Raw genomic sequence first — 16,786 nt, 5'->3', positions numbered from 1 at the left:
AAACACCTAAGAATACAGCTAACAAGGAAAGTGAAGGATCTCTTCAAAAGGAATTACAAACCACTGCTCAAAGAAATCAGAGATGACACAAACAAATGGAAAAACATTCCATGCTCATGGTTAAGAAGAATCTATATTGTGAAAATGGCCATACTGCCCAAAGCAATTTATAGATTCAATGCTGTTCCCATTAAACTACAATTGTCATTCTTCACAGAATTAGAAAAAACTGTTTTAACATTCATATGGAACCAAAAAAGAGCCCAAATAGCCAAGATAATTCTAAGCAAAAAGAACAAAGCTGGAGGCATCATACTACCCAACTTCAAACTATACTACAAGCCTACAGTAACCAAAACAGCATGGTACTGGTACAAGAACAGACACATAGACCAATGGAACAGAATAGAGAATGCAGAAATAAGACCACACACTTAAAACCATCAGATCTTCAACAAACCAGTGGTTACATTCTAACTATAAATGTGTGCTAACCCTGTTTTTCTATTAATTTTTAGACAGTATTATTGCCAGAAATGGGTTTTATCTCTCTTCCCTCCTCTTTCTCATCTGCCAAGTTTTTTAAATTATATTTTTGCTTTTGGCTCATCCATTAATTGCATCTATAATTTTAAAAATATAAAAGAAACCAAAACATCTATTCTCGATCCATGAACTAGATAGTTAAGTTGCAGGACTGATCACTTCCCACTTCTCTCTACCTCTTCTCACCTTCCTGTGTCTTTCAGCCTCACTAATCCTTTTACAGTTAAGATTTATAGCTTCTATATCCTGTTCTATAACTTTAAAATATTTTTCTACAGGTTAATTCTAAATATTGAAAACCACTTTTATTGGTTCAGTTGCAGTTAATAGGAACCATGGTGGCTATTTTAAACCAAAAGAGATTTACTAGAAGGAACTAGATGCTTTCAAATGTTTTCAAAGGGCTGGCAGACAAGGCTCTAGGTAGGACTTTCAGGAACGACTCCCACAAGTGTCCAGCCAGGGCAGCTGCCATCTCTGCCCCAACAGGAAAGTTGAGACGTGCTGTGGGTTCCAGGAAGCCAGTTCGAGTGTGACACAAGGTCAAGAAGCTGCCCCTCATGCTTTTATAGGCTCCTGAACCATGCTCCAAGAGCAACATCCACCTCAGAAAAAAAACAGAAGCCTGATGCCCTGTCTCTGGGCATCATGGTGCTGTTAACGCTGCCGCAGAAAAAACAGCAGACAACCCAGTGCCTTGGTGACCACGCTTGTTAGCAAAAAGAGCAGACAAAAAGAGAGCGGACAAGCTCACATTCGCCCCACTTCCACCTTCCGTGAAGCACATCTGGTGGCCAAACATAAATCACAAATGCAACTCCACTGGGAGGGAGTCTGAAACCATGGGTTTTGCTTCTTAGCCTCTGCAAAAGAGGGAGGAGCACTAAGAAGACAGTGGACCTCCTCTGAGGGCCATTCTATCCATCCCATCCGCCACGCCAGGTATCTGCAATGAAGCCAGGGTGCACCACTGGACCCACCAGTGAGAGAACAGACACGCCTGCTGCTGCTATGCCCAGAGCTGACGCCAGTGGATTCTCTCTTCTTATGCCTTTAATTGCTCCAAGTCGTTCTGCATTTAAGTTTGCTTCTCAGTAGATCACCGGTTTCTTATAGATTTTTATTCTCCTGGAGTTCCAATTGACTTTTTGTGTGTGTGTGTTTGACAAAATAATACTTTGCACCTGATCACTACGTCATTTGGCTTTGTAATCATCTGTCATCTGCCTACCCAATGCATTCATCTTGAAGTACTCTGAGTTTCTGCTCTAACTGGCATCATCGAAGCAATATTTTTTTTATTTGTTTTTGTTTTTGTTTTGAGACGGAGTCTCGCTCTGTTGCCCAGTCTGGAGTGCAGTGGTGTGATCTCAGTTCACTGCAACCTCCGCCTCCTGGGTTCAAGCAATTCTTGTGCCTCAGCCTCCCAAGTAGCTGGGATTACAGGTGTGCACCACCATGCCAGGCTAGTTTTTGTGTTTTTAGTAGAGACAGGGTTTCACCATATTGGCCAGGATGGTCTCGAACTCCTGACCTCAGGTGATCTGCCCACCTCGGCCTCCCAAAGTGCTGGGATTACAGGCGTGAGCCACTGCACCTGGCTAATAATATTTTTAACTTCTAAGAACTTCTCTCTGATTGCTACTTTTTACAACTTCTTGTTTTATGGACTAACACCTTGAATCTCTCCCATAATACCAGTTAGAAATAAAAAGTCTTTTATTTCCTAATGATCATGGTTTTCTCATGGGTTCGATGTTTTATTGGTTCATATTGATTCATGCCTTCTTCTATGCCGTTGGTTTTTCTCAAGTACCTGGTAAACCTTGTTGTCTGTTTATATTTTTAAAAACTAGGCTGATTGACAGCAATGGCTGGCACGGGTCTCCTCTGCTGATTGACAGCAATGGCTGACACGGGTCTCCTCTGCTGATTGACAGCAATGGCTGGCGCGGGTCTCCTCTGCAGTCTGGGCTTGCTTTCCCACTTGCCATCTCTCTAGAGGGAGCCCCTTACATGGGTGGTGTGTGCCAAATGGCAGGATTCCCACAGGGCCCCGGGTCAGGGTGGCAGGCTGCCCCTGCCCCCAGCAGCCATCGGTGACCCAACCCTATCCTTTCAGCACTCCCCTCTGCACACCCAAGGCTGCTGGCTTAGGTCAGTGTCCTAGTTTCCCATGGCTGTCATAACATCTAGGGGTGGGTGACTTTGTCCCATGCCTTTCTTTTAGTTTCTGGTGTTGCCAGCAGTCCTTGGCTATGAGTGCACATGGCTCAGATCTCTGCCTCCATCATTATACGGCCTCTCTCAGTGTGTCTTTGTCTATGTCTCATCTCTTCTTGTAAAGACATCAATCCCAGTGGGTGAAGACCCACCCTAATGGAGTCTGGCATCATCTTACCTTAAATGCAACTCCAAAGACCCTATTTCTAAATTAGGACACATCCCCAGGTCTTGGGGGTTAGGACTTCCACATGTCTTTCTGGGGGACACAATTCAACCCACAGCAGCCGGGTTCCTGGAGGTGGATCCTGAGACAGCGTGCACATGCAGCTGGCTCACTCAGGAAAAACCTCCAAGGGAGCGAGGGGAGCAGGAGGGGCGGGTGCTGCCTCAGGCAACATCTAATCTGGACCAGATCCTGGGAGGGAGGGTGGTCTGCAGAGCTGTCCAGCCTCAAGCTGAGGCCTGGGCTTGTGTATCCCTGTGTCCACCAGTCCTGCCCTAGGTGGAGGAGTATAATTTCCTCAGCAGGGTGGCTCTTGTAGGCTGAGCACACGTCTCTGGAGAAGATCTCAGGCGTACGGCCATTGGCCACACACTCCAAGCAGCACAAGTGAGGAAAAGGGCAGTCTCCTCTCTGGAACTCCTATCACAGTGCTCATTCTACCCCCCCGTCTCTAAGCTCTGTTTTCTATTTGATCTCTTTTTATTTTTCTAGTCATTCTAAGTTCTTCAGCTGATAATCCCATATGTATGTGTTGGAGGGTGTGTGTGTGTGTGAGTGTGTGTGTGTGTGTGAGTGTGTGGGTGTGTGTGGGGTGAGAGTGAGTGTGAACCACCGTGCCTGGCCAATATTTAAACATTTTAAGACTTTATATGATAAGATGCATTTCAGAAACATTATACTAATTGGCACTCCCACCAGCAGAGTATAAGAGTATTTAAATGACTGCACAATTTTTTAGTTATCCTGTTATTTTTTCTTAAACTGATGCAAATCTGTTTTGGAAACCAGATAACATAATATAAGTGTATGTATATAAACATACACAGACCTATACATCTATTTGTATATATACATATGTGTATACACACATATACAGATAAAAATCTTTCTCCAAATAATCTTAATGATCTGGGCACCAATATGAATGCAAAAGGCCTTTATTGCCTCTTCTACAGAATAGTGATAAGGAAACTAATTACAAAGGACAGAAGAGTGAAGTCTGGATACCGTTCTCATCACGTAATCCACGTGAACATCAGAAACGGGACATATCACCGTTGTGCCCCGCCCGTTAGGATGCAATGACAAAAACCACAGCATCAAACAGACTCTTCTACTGTCCCCATAAACTACTGAGGTTTCCTAGAAAGTCAAATGTCTCAGCCTCGAATCTACCATCAAACAGTTCAGTAAGAAAAAAAGTGTTATTTGCATAGTACTTGCAACTTTTCTATAAGCTTGACATTGTTTCAAAATAAAACGAAAAATATAGGGTCAGAGGCACAGTGGGGGAGGAAGGGAGGGCGTCGTCACCCCTGAACGTCGTCAAAGGCCCTGCTCTTGGTTCCAGGCTGTGCTGTCGTCTTCAACTGTTATTAATTTTCAAAGGGGCGCTGTGGGTTCATTTTGCAGGGGCCCCACGGATTATGTGACCAGTGCCGGTAGCGGCTCCCCTGTTGCTAACCTCTGGCTTTCCTTTGCTTGGCGCACATTTCTTTGTTGTGTACGTGTGGGTGAGCATTTCTGAATCCTGACGCTGGGACCTCTCCCTTCCAGATCTGCATGAGTCTGCCATGCTGGAGGACGGAAGACGGCTGCTCTCTCAGATTCTTCTCCAAGCTCAACAAGGCCTCGTGGTTGGCCTCGGGAATAAGCAGAGCTTAGATTGGCCCATGTGCGAAATATTTGGCCAGGGGTAGTCCTGCCACTGGCTCCACGGATCTATCTTGGTTCAAGATGCTCCCTTGATGAATATGCAGATTATGTAAATTCTTCTCTTTTTTTCAGCAGCTTAACCACTAGGTTGGAACGACGGCCAAGTTCAGTTTTTCCTCTGTTCATCAGTCAGTTCTTCTACCTCAATGCATGACATTTCTTTAGTGTTCAAGCCCTTCTTCTTTGTTCGGCTGAAGGAAGAATAACCATAATGGTGGTTAGGAGCAGGGGTTAAATCCAGTTCTGCCACCCACAAACTACGTGGGTTGAGCAAGTTACTTAACTTTTCTGTACCTCAGTGTTGTCATCTGTAAAATGGGTTTAATGATAACACCAGCCCTTCCCCAGCTTTAAATCTTTCTCTGACTCCCCGCTACCCACCTGACAAAACCCAGATCCTTGATGAGGAGTGACAGGACCTCCCTCCCACCCTCTTGGGGCATCCAGAGCCCCTCCTGTCTCCTTCTGTGCTAGACGCTTTCTCACACTTGGCCTCATTTATTTCTGGCCACGGATTTGCAAGGGGGCATTATCTTCTCTATTTTACAGGTGAGGAACTGGAGCTTCGGTGGCTGACAAACTTGCCCCACATGTCACTGGCCGGTGGGAGAGCTGAAGTCAACCCAGGACCTCAATGTCCTTCCTCTTCAGCACGTGCCCTGCCGTCCCCATGTGCTCCAGCCCAAGCCAGATTTTCTGCGATTTCCAGAACATTCTGTTCTCTTTCATTCCTCAGTTTGTCTATCTACTGCTCTCCTCCCCAGTGCCTTCAGAAAGGGATGAGTACATACATTTGGCAAAAGTGGGGTGGGTGTGGGCACGAGGGAACAGACAGTAGACAGGAGGGTGGGAGCCCTGGAGTAATAGACGCAGTATTTTGGAGAGGGTTTTTGAGCAGGGTGGGAATGTGTCCCCGAGCCCTCCCTTTCCTGAAGGTGGAGTTCTGGCTTTCTACATGGGATTCCGAGAACGAAGCTTGTGGTTTCAGCATTTCAGACTGAGGTTGAAAAGTGCACAGAGCGCGTCTGCCTCTGATGGAGTTAAAAGCAGCTTCGTCTGGAGTGCAGCGGTCGTCATGGCGATGCATAATTACCAGGGTTTCACTGGAATTGGGAGTCACTGCCCAATCATTGACGATTGATCCGCACACTTTTCCTTTCTTCCCCTGCAAGAGATTTCCCTGGAAGGCAGGCATAGCCACGAGAAGGCACTTCAGGCCTACGTGATTCCTAGCGCTCAATGTGAATCACTTTCTTTTCTTGACTGGGGCCAAGGGAAGATATTTTGTTGCCACAGGCAGCTTATGACAGGGACCTAATGATTTGCGGTATTCCCTGGATGTCCCTGGAGCTCCATTTCAAACCCCAGTGCACCAGGAGTCCTGTTTCACCTGCCAATTTCCTGAACCCACCTTGCACTTGGCTTCTCCAGGACTTGCCCCTTCCTCTCCCTGAGAGTAGAGCCCTGAAGAAGCAGTGCCTAAGATTTCACAAGTCTCACCCTAGCAGTTATCCCAACCGTTATTATGATTTCACTGAACCTCACCCGTCCTTCAAGGCTCAGCTCAAGCTTCCTTGGTGAAGCACTCTCAGTGGGGAATGCACGCCTTCTGGCTTCCTCCACAATGCCCCACAGCTCTTGGCCTGTGTCACATTCATTCATTCATTCATTCATTCACTCACTCAACATCGATTGACCACCTACTAAGTGCCAGGCAACTGTACTGGGTTCTGGAGCCTGGACAAAACAGACAAACGTCTCTGTCCTCATGGGGCTTAAAACCTTGTGTGGAGCAGACAGTAGTCATGGTATATAGGTAAGGTAGGTAGTGCATTAGAAGGTGACACGTGCCAAGGAGAAAAATAAGCAAAGGCGAGGTAGGAAGTGTCAGGAAAGGGGGTTTCCATTATTTATGCATCTATTTTTTGAACACCACGAATCTGTGTGTCATCCTTGCACAGAAGCTGTGCTCATCTTCTCCGTATTGTTCCAATTGTAGTGTATGTGCGGCCACACAGAGTACTGGGATTTCCATTTTAAAGTGGGGTCCAGGAAGGATTCACAGAGAAGAGACCTGTGAGTGGAGAACTACAGGGAAGGAGAAGGTGAGTCATCTGAGTGTCTAGATATAAGGACGCTCCAGGCAGAGAGGCCAGCCAGCACAAAGTCCCCAAGGCAGGAGGGAGCCTGGCATGTTGAAGCGACAGCTTCTGGAGTGGAGGGAAGGAGGGGATGAGTTGGGGGAGACAAGCTCAGAGAGGAGAGGAGGGCAGATCCTTAAGGCCCTGTGGGTCATTGCGGGGACATGGGCTTTTACGTGAGCGAGAAGCAGAGCCTTCGGAGGGTTTCTGACAGAAGATCACTCTGTTGCTTTGAGAATAGATCACAGTAGGGGCGGGGGCGGAAATAGAAACCTGTTGCCACCTGACAGATGATCCAGTTTGGAGCAGGCTGGCACAGGTGCGGTGGTGACAAGTGGCCTCTGGCTGTGCTTTGACAGTAGGACCACCTGTTTGGTGGTGGATGGGAAGTGGGCATGCAGAAGGAATGAGGTGGGTATGAGGAAACAATGTACTGGGGCAACTCTGCCATGGCTTGAGTCCCCGAAAGGCTGGCGAGGTCATACAAGAGGGGGAGCGGATGATAAGACCAGCTGAGGGTGTGGTGGGAGACCCGGGTTCCAGTCCGGGAGGTTTATGAGACACCCAATGGGAGAGGTCAAGGAGGTGTTTGGAGATACGGGTCTGGAGTTCATGGAGGGGTCTAGTCCATGGACCTCTTGGGAGTCATCACTGATGAGGTGATCTATGAAGCCACAGATGGGATGAGTGCACCAAGCGAGTGACAAGAGGTCCCAGGATGGACCCTGGAGCCACCGTCACTGGTCGGTCAGGAGGAACAAGCACGTGAGCCAGTGATGGAGAAGGAAAACCACAGTGTGGCATCAGGAAGCGGAGGGCATAAAGGGCTTCAAGGAAGAGGGAGAGACCACCCCATTGGTGCTGCTGGGAGGTGAGTAGGATGAGAGTCAAGGACCAGCCAGCAGATTTAGTGATAAGATGGTTAGAACCTTCCAATGGAGCATTGATAAGAAAGTCCTATTGGAGGAGGGCTAGAGAAAAATCAGGAGGCCAGGCATGGTGGCTCACGCCTGTAATTCCAGAGAGGCCGAGGCAGGGAGATCACTTGAGGCCAGGAATTTGAGACCAGCCTGGCAGACAGGCCAACGTGGTGAAATCCTGTCTCTCCTAAAAATACAAAAAAATTAGCCGGGCATGGTGGTGGGCACCTATAATCCCAGCTACTCTGGAGGCTGAGACAGGAGGATCACTTGAACCCAGGAGGTGGAGGTTGCAGTAAGCTGAGATCACGCCACTGCACTCCTACCTGGGTGACAGAGCGAGACTCCATTTCAAAAAAAAAAAAAAAAAAAAGAAACTCAGGAAAAAAAACCCCAAGACACTGTAAGGCTAGACAGCACTTTGTAGGAGTGTTGTTGTAAAGGGAACAGAGAAAGGGGGCAGTACCTGGAGGGGGATGGGGGCCAGGATGGAATTTTGGGGGGTGGGAGAGGAAAGCATGTAGGGTACCATGGCTGCTGAGAAGGATCCAGGAGGGGTCCTCCCGGATGGGGCTGCACACTGAGCAGCTTTCAATAAATTCTCTCTTCTCACGCAATCCGAATTCTCGGCTTGAATTATTTCCTGCACAAGACCCAGGAGCCCTCTCTTGCGGTCTGGATCAGGACGCCTTTTTCAGGCAGCAAGATGGCCATCTGGGGGAGCAGGTCCTGGGGAGTCTACTGTGTCCTGGGCAACGCAGGGGCCACTTAGGCTTGGGGTCAGTCGTCTAAAGTGGGATGACTCCGCCTGGCTCCCCTGCGGCTCCCCTGCCGGGCAGCTGCTTTGGGGCCCACAGAGCAGTGAGGTCTTGGCGCTGCCATTTACTGCTGTGTGATCTCTACCATGCTGTTTAATCTCCCCAAGTCTCCATTTCTTCATCTGTGAAGTAGTGACAACACCTACCACCAAAAATGCGTTAAAGATCAGAGGTCGATTTTTTTTATTATTTTTTCAGAGACAGGGTCTCACTATGTTGTCCAGGCTGGTCTCAAATTCCTGGGCTCAAGCGATCTGCCTGCTTTGGCCTCTCAAAGTGCTATAATTACAGCTATAAGGACTAATGAGTGAGGGCTGGCGTGTTCATGTTCCATGGAAAGGAGCCGTCTTCTCCCCTCTCTGGGCATTTGGGACCAGTATTTTCTCTTTGTATCCTCCAAAAAACATGCCACTTATGTGCTGGCCACATGGAGATTATAGTCGATAAATGCCTCCTGGCTGAATAATTAACTACATAATGAGCATTTGTCTTTGTGTGAGTGATGAGACTATCAAAACCCAGAAGAGGGTGAAAGCAAGGTGAGCACATCAGCCTGTTTCACCAGCAGTGTTTTTTCTCTATAATCCTCGGCCATTTTGCACTGTCAGATTCTGATCTTAACTGCAGAGTTATAAATAAAATGCATGATTTGTACCTGTCCTACTTAGAAGGAAAATATGTGAGATCACATACAATACAAAGCACAGATATAATAGAGCTATTCAAACAAGGGTGAGAAACACGATTAGACGACTAAGCTGCAGGCGGCAGGAGAGACACCCTGTGCACGCAAATCGGAGTTGCTGAGCTGGAGGGAGTGCATTGATCTGACTGAAGACAGCACGCTACGTTTGCGGTATCTTTGTCTAGATCAACCATGATTTTTTTTTTCTGTGTTTGGGAATATGGCAGGTTTCAGGTACCGTTTAGGGCACAGCTTCATCCAGGAGGGAGGCGGTGATACCGTTTGGATATTTGTCCCCTCCAAATCTCCTGTTGGAATGTGATCCCCAGGGTTGGAGGTGGAGTCTGGTGGGAGGTGTCTGGATGGTGGGGGCGGATCCCTCCTGGGTGGCTCAGTGCCTTTTGCAAGGGAGTGAGTGCGTGCTCACTCTTAGCTCCCGTGAGAACTGACTGTGAAAAGGAGCCCGCACCACCTCCCAGCTCCCTTGCTCCCTCTCCAGCCCCACCTCCCCCCTCCCTCACTCCCATTCTTGCCCTGTGAGCTCTGCACACGCTGGCCTCCTTTCACCTTTCTCCATAAGAGGAAGCAGCCTGAGGCCTCACCAGAAGCAGATGCTGGCTCCATGCTTTGGGTACAGCCTGCGGAACCATCAGCCACATAAACCTCTTTTCTGTCTAAGTCACTCAGCCTCAGGTGTTCCTTTATAGCAACGCAAACACACTAAGACATTCCTTCCAACTGGCCCCGGGAACAACCCCTGAAAGCCTGGGTGTTTTCACTCTACCTCTGAAGCCCACTCATGGTGAAGTAAAGAGGGGTGTGGGCCCTTCCTACCTCTGGGCTAGTAATGAGCAGCCTCCTGGAAAAGGGGCACCCGAGCACCCCATTACCCACAGACAGAAGGGACACAGAGGCCCGCCCTCAGGGCCCCCCCCAGCAAACTCAGTGGTGGGTGTGCCTGAGGTTGGGGGCTGTCCCTTCCCAAGGAGTCCCAAAGACCCCTTTGCTGCATAAGGAGGCAAAGGAACTATCCAGGGAGAAGCCACCCTGGGGCCCCACGACTGGAGTTGTGACATCTGCTGTACCTTCTGTGACCATAAGGGTCACATGGGACCCAGACACCTGGGGCTGAGCCTCCTCACTGCTCCTCCCTCACCTCCCTCTGCTCCGGCCGGACTTTCCTCCTGCCGTGTGGCTCTCTGAAATGCCCATCCCAGCAGGCACGACCAAGCCAGGCTGACATCCTCATGAAGGAACTTGGTTCCTTCCTTCTGCGGCCTCCTCTGATTTGTGGCATATGACAGTGATCATAAGGATGCTGCCTCATGGGCCTCCTCCTTCAAGGCTTAAAATAAAGGACTGCGTGTTCTGGGTGCTGATTGTGTGGTTGAGGAAGCCGAGGCAGGTGCACAGTCATGCTGGGGCTGGTGGGTGACTGGAGCCCAGGACCTGCCTGGCTTCAGGGAGAAGCTTCATGCAGGGTGTCTGTCTAGCAGAAGCCGGCTATGTTGTGAGCAGTGGCTCAGCATGGCTCTCTGTGGCCCTGTGACCTTGAATGAGTCACTCTTCATCTCTGGACTCAGTATCTTCCTCAGTGAAAAGTGGGGGGTGGGGGGGTGAGGGTGGGGATGACAGCAGAGGGCCCCCAAGGCTCCTCTGGGATTCTGTAGCAAGGATAGTGATGCTGCACCCTCAGTTTCTAAGTCACAGGTCAGAAGGAGCTCTCCGGAGCCCTCCCAGAGGCCAGGCACACAGACACCTGGCGCCGGGAGAGCACAGCTGGGCCCGGGCAGGCTCCTCACATCCCACAGCTCCCTCTAAAGCCGTTCTGCCAGCTTACACGGTGTGTCATGAAAGCCTGGTGATGCACTGGCCGTGATTGCAGATGAGCTACTGTCTGCCTTAATTAAGCTTACAGGGACTAAATGTGGCTGCTGACACGCTGAATGCAAATTACCTCTGATTCACATTTGGAATGGCTCCTCATGTCCCCTTTCTGTGCATAACTGTCATGCGGCAAGATCTGGAATTGTTTTTTCTGGAGTTTGACGCTTGAGGGGGTTTAACTCTGGGGCTCTGCCCAAATCCCACCATTCATAGCTTTTGCTTTAGTCTGCATGACACCATGACTGGTCAAATGAAGGAGTCAGTCCTAAAAGACCAAAAGCCCCCTGCGGCCTGGGAGTGAGCGTTGCACAGGTGTGGTCTGACCAGTGTCAGAACATGGACAGAGGCTGCTCTCAGATACTGGGTTTCTGTAGGACCTGCACCCGTGAGGCCTGGGCCTTCTCCGGCAGGCCCTCAAAACATGTTGAGGCCTGTTGAGTGTGCTGAGGTCTGAGGTCTAAGACTAGTTGGCTCCAAAAATAAACAATGGAGTCAGTCTTGAAAAGTTATAACAGAAACAAACCTCTCGGCAAAGAAAAGGAGGAGTCGTTGCCTAAAAGCCTCTTATGGAGCAAGGCGAGAGAGGAAAATAAATGGGGCAAGTCAGTGTATAATTAAGCGTAACCTGAAGGGTGTGGCACAGCCCGTGAAAGTGTTGGGCACACAGCAAGGCAGAGGAGCGGGGAGGGCGGAGGAGCGGGGAGGGCGAACAAGCAGGGAGGACGGAGGAGCAGGGAAGGTGGAGGAGTGAGGAGGACGCAGGAGCAGGGAGGGCGAACGAGCGGGGAGGACGGAGGAACAAGGAGGGCAGAGGAGCGGGGAGGGCGAAGGAGCGGGGAGGACAGAGGAGCAGGGAGGGCAGAGGAGCGGGGAGGGCGAACGAGCGGGGAGGACAGAGGAGCAGGGAGGGCAGAGGAGCGGGGAGGGCGAACGAGCGGGGAGGGCGGAGGAGCGGGGAGGATGGAGGAGGGGGGAGGACAGAGGAGCGGGAGGGAGGACGAGCGGGGAGGACGAAGGAGCAGGGAGGGCAGAGGAGCAGGGAGGAGACAGGATTGGGGAGGGCAGAGGAGCAGGGAGGAGACAGGATTGGGGAGGGCAGAGGAGCAGGGAGGATGGAGGAGCAGGGAGGGCAGAGGAGCGATGAGGGCAGAGAAGCCAGGAGGGCGGAGGAACTGGGAGGGCGGAGGAGCGGGGAGGACGACGGATCGGAGAGGGCGGAGGAGTGGGGAGGACGGAGGATCGGAGAGGGCGGAGGGATCGGGGAGGGCTTGAGCCCTTATTGCAGCTTCCAGGTGGGGCCTGGAAGGAGACAGATGCCGGGGAGATGTGGGAGAGAAGAGAGGGTGTTCCAGGCAGCAGGGGGCCCGGACAAAGGCACAGAGGGCAGCTAAGAAAGACCTGGGTAAGGAAGCACCACAAACCAGGTGGCTTAAAACAATAGAACTTTCTTTTCTCACAGTTCTGGAGGCCGAAGTCTGCAGTCAAGGTGTGGGCCGGGCCCGCTCCCTCTGAAGGCTGCATGGGAGGGTTCTCCCCGCCTCCTCCAGCTCCTCGTGCTGCAGGCAGCCCCTGGCGTCCCTCCGCTTGCAGAGCATCATGCCAATCTCCACGTCTGTCGCCACACAAGCTTCTCCCTGTGGGTTTCTGCCTGTGTCTGTTTTCCCTTCTTCTAAAGACTATTGGATTCGAGTCCACCCTCATCAAGTGTGACGTCCTCTTACATGATCACATCTCCAAGACCCTATTCCAAATAAGGTCACATTCATAGGTCCTGGGGGTAGAGCTTCAACATGCTTTTTCACGGGACACAATTTAACCCATAACATCATACACAGAGGCCAGAGAGGCCAGCCTGCCTGACCTTTGGGGGAAATACTGCTGAGGAGCATCAGGGAATGAGGTTGGAGGAGGATGTGAGGCAGGCGGGGTTCTGGGTGGTCTCAGAGATGACGCCACAGCCATGGCGGTGGCCACCAGGGTCTCCTCCCTGAGAACCTGCCACAGCCTTGGTGGTGTGGAGGTGGGGGGTGACGCAGCGGGGGGTCACAGCCATCCCGGGGGAGAATCACAATGCAGGCACTTGGGGGTCTGGCATCCTTGACTGACAGCCCAGAACCTCTCTTGGGTCCTTCACACTCTCCCCACCTGTCCCCAAGCAAGGACAGGGCAGGGTGGCAGCCCAGAGCCAGCCCACTCCTCCCTTTCCCAGCATCCTCTAACTGAAGAATGTGCTTGGTGACCCCCCACCCCGGTCTGGCCGAGACTTGCTCAGAACTGAGCTGCAGGCTGGAGGCCCTTCCTACCCAATCCTTCCTTCCAGGTGTCAGGCTCCCCGGAGGTCTGAACCCACTCCTGCTCTTTCTCCCTTTACCCTTCACAGGCATTCCTTCCATTAAATCTCTTGCACATCTAATCCCATCTTGGCATGGCCTCATGACTGTACAGATAGAGTAGAAAACAGGGAGGCAAACTGTTTGTTTGTATTAAGAGAGAGCTGAACTGAGCAATCCCTGTGATGCTAGGATTTCAGTCTGAAGCAGATCCAGTTTTTCATTGATAAGGGTCAGTTAGAGTAAAATCCACGACTGGAGAGATGTGGACAGAGACTGGAATAAAGGGAGTTCACTTTGACCTGCTGCGGGAATTTCAACGGGATCATTTACATGCCTCTTCTATGCTGGTGATGTTGCTAAGCTTCTTCGCAAATATTCCACCACAAGTTTATTGAAATGGACATTTTTGCTATTTTTCATTTCACAAAGTGGTGCTACATTTTTTTTTAAAGAAGTTCTAAAATATTTTGAGCATTGGGAAAATCATTCGAGTACATGTGGATCTTCCCAGTGGAAGATTATAATGCTGGTGTTTGTATTCTGTGACATTCTCCCCCTCACTCTCAATAAAAGTAAAATGGGTAGAAGTGAACACAAGACAGGATACTTTGCAATCTCATGTAGTCCTAGGATCAACCATTCTGTTAATCTGTTTTGTTTGTTCATTTTTGAGACGTAGTCTTGCTCTGTTGCCCAGGCTGGAGTACAGTTGTGCTATCTCCGCTCACTGAAACTTCAGCCCCTCAGGTTCAAGCGATTCTCCTGCCTCACCCTCCCGAGTAGCTGGGATCACAGGCACCCGCCACCACGCCCGGCTAATTGTTGTATTTTTAGTAGAAATGGGCTTTCCCCATGTTGGCCAGGCTGGTCGTGAACTCCTGACCTCAAGTGATCTGCCCGCCTCATCCTCCTTAAGTGCTGGGATTACAGTCGTGAGCCCCCACACCTGGCCCATTTTGTGAATCTGAATTTTAAAATGGAAAGAGATACTAGGGTCAAACAAATGAGGAACAGGTAAGAGTACACCAAAAGGAAAGTAGGTTTATTTTTCCTCACTCCTCAGCCCATCCCCTCAGCCCAGAGTTATCTGGTTACAGTGCTGCGGGAATTTAACCATAAATAAATGGAATCTGAATTATGCTTGTCAAAGTAAGTGACCAACATCAGCTGATGGTTCTGAGTTTTGGCTTCTGCAGTCGCTATTTTTTTTCTTGCTCAAGTAACTTGAAAAATTACTAATGGACATTGCTAATCCCAGTTATTAGTAAGCTTTAGTCAGGCTCTCTTCGACTACAAAGGGAAAAGTTATTTTCCTATAGGGGAAGATTAATGCACTCAAGTTCCACCAGTTATTCGTCTAAATCCCCAGAGTAACAAGAAGATCCAATGCCTCTGCTTTACTTGAGCCTGGAAATGACTCTGGCATCCCACAAGCACCAATCGGAGTCAGAAGCCCACCCACCCAAAGACTCGGGATTTTATGAACCACAAGTCTGCCGTCCCCACAGACACCCAGCATGGAGGCTTTGTGATAAAACCAAAGTCATTCCCTGTTCAACACTGCTCCCGCCCTGATGCTGCCCGGGGATCGCAGGAGTGCAGGGCTACCTGACCACAATGAAGGCTGTGGGGGCTGTGGGGCAGAGGAGAGGCTGCAGCAGCTCAGTAACAGGTACTCATGTTAGTTATAGCTCTGCTGACACAACGTGTCTTTCCTTCTTTGCTTCTCTCCTCCCTGCCACGCTTCTTTACCTCCTCCACTTGTTCTAGAAAGAATAACCTACAAATGGACAAAAATGACAACATGATTAAGTTAACTAAAAGTGAGTTTATTCGTTAGGACTCTTGCATTGCAGGAGACAGGAATCCCACACTATCTTAAGAAAATATGGGAATGTTCTTGACTCACAGGGAGAAGCAGAGGAGGGATTGGTCTTAAGGATGACAGGAACCCAGGCTTTGCTGTTCCTCCCATCTCTGAGTACTGTACCCTGGCTCCCAGTCTGGCCGTCCCTGGAGCAGGGGTAGTGCCAGGCTGAAGTCTAACTGCCTCGAGATAAGAATGGAAAGGGCTCTGTCAGCGCCAGAGTCACAAGGAAGGCTCTGATTGGCCACCAAGACCAAGTCTCCCGACTGGGGGTGATTATGACAGGCTGAGCCAGGGACTAGGGAGGCAGAATACCAGCGTCCCCTACCAGACCTAAATACTGTGCTGGGAGAGGTAATTTCCTCCAATAGCAGATGTGTGTATACGTCAAGCCAGGAGCACGCACTTGCTGTGGGTGGGCCACAGCTTGGGTGATTATGTTCCAGTCAGCTCTAGGACTCACAAGATACAAACAGACCAAGAGTTCAGGAGAAAGACAACTATTCTTGGTTTAAGACCGAACAGGAATTTCTCTCTAGAGATCTTAGCGTATGTCTTTTTGTTTGTTTGTTTCAAACTATCAAATCCCCAAGGTGGTTAGCACCCATGGAGCCCTGGCCGCTGTAACAAAATGGAGTCCTCTCCAAGAGTTCCCGGTAGAAACAGCACTCTCCATAGTGGCCTTGTGCCCTTCTCCTTGGAGCCCTGACCCAAACAGCCCCTGTGTCTCCTCTCCCTCCAGAGTCCCCTGCGCAAAGCCCAGCTCTGCTAAGGATCACTCTTCTCAAATCCCACGTGATCCCGCTTCTGACTGAATAAAAGTCCCTTCTTTCTGCCTGGCCCTGAAGTAGATCACATCTATGGGCCTCGAGCTCATTCCGTCATTCAGTTATCGAAAAGTCACTGGAAAAAGACTCATGTAAAATCAGCAATTCCTATAACAACCAACACCCCCACTGTTACACCTCACATGGCATAGTCTCTCTTCAGCAAAGATCTGAAGATGTTTGCAATAATAGTCCAAATAACAGCAAATATCACCGGCATGAAATGGAAAGGGGAAGTAGGCTGGCATCCCCTCTCCACATTCCCCTCCCTGGGAGAAGGAGCTCCGCCCACGCAGTGAGGTGGGAGGCAGCCCTGCTCTGCTGCCCAGAGCCTCTGTGGCGCAGGGCGTTCTCCACAGCATCCTTGACAGCCTGTCAGGTGACAGCAGGGTGGCTCAACACAGCACCTGCAATTCTCTAGCAGGAAAGACAGATGCAAAATGTGTGACTGCTTTTTTTCTGGTTCCCAAAATACTTCCCAGGAGAAGGAGCAGAGGAAGGGCCAGGGCAGTGGATCTCAAACGATATGCACACGTGAGTGCACACACATGCTTACACATGCACACACACGCTCACACATGTCCACACGCACACACA

General features: G+C 50.1%; 1 pseudogene, besides 2 other annotated features; it reads right to left on the bottom strand.

Moving 5' to 3' along the window:
* Positions 3,992–4,192: a silencer, noted in NCBI's record as "peak6849 fragment used in MPRA reporter construct". NCBI's record gives its function as "represses an SCP1 promoter by STARR-seq MPRAs in K562 erythroleukemia cells {active_cell/tissue: K562}" and the evidence as "EXISTENCE:reporter gene assay evidence [ECO:0000049][PMID:32103011]".
* Positions 6,628–6,727, bottom strand: RNU6-604P (RNA, U6 small nuclear 604, pseudogene; annotated as a pseudogene).
* Positions 16,164–16,664: an enhancer, noted in NCBI's record as "H3K4me1 hESC enhancer chr7:151587423-151587923 (GRCh37/hg19 assembly coordinates)". NCBI's record gives its function as "activates a minimal SCP1, AML or CMV promoter by ChIP-STARR-seq in primed H9 embryonic stem cells {active_cell/tissue: H9 hESC(primed)}" and the evidence as "EXISTENCE:reporter gene assay evidence [ECO:0000049][PMID:30033119]".

The sequence above is a fragment of the Homo sapiens genome, chromosome 7, assembly GCF_000001405.40.
Source record: "Homo sapiens chromosome 7, GRCh38.p14 Primary Assembly".
Lineage (NCBI taxonomy): Eukaryota > Metazoa > Chordata > Mammalia > Primates > Hominidae > Homo > Homo sapiens.
Note: the sequence above shows the minus strand (reverse complement) of the source record. Positions and strands in the feature narration are given on the sequence as shown.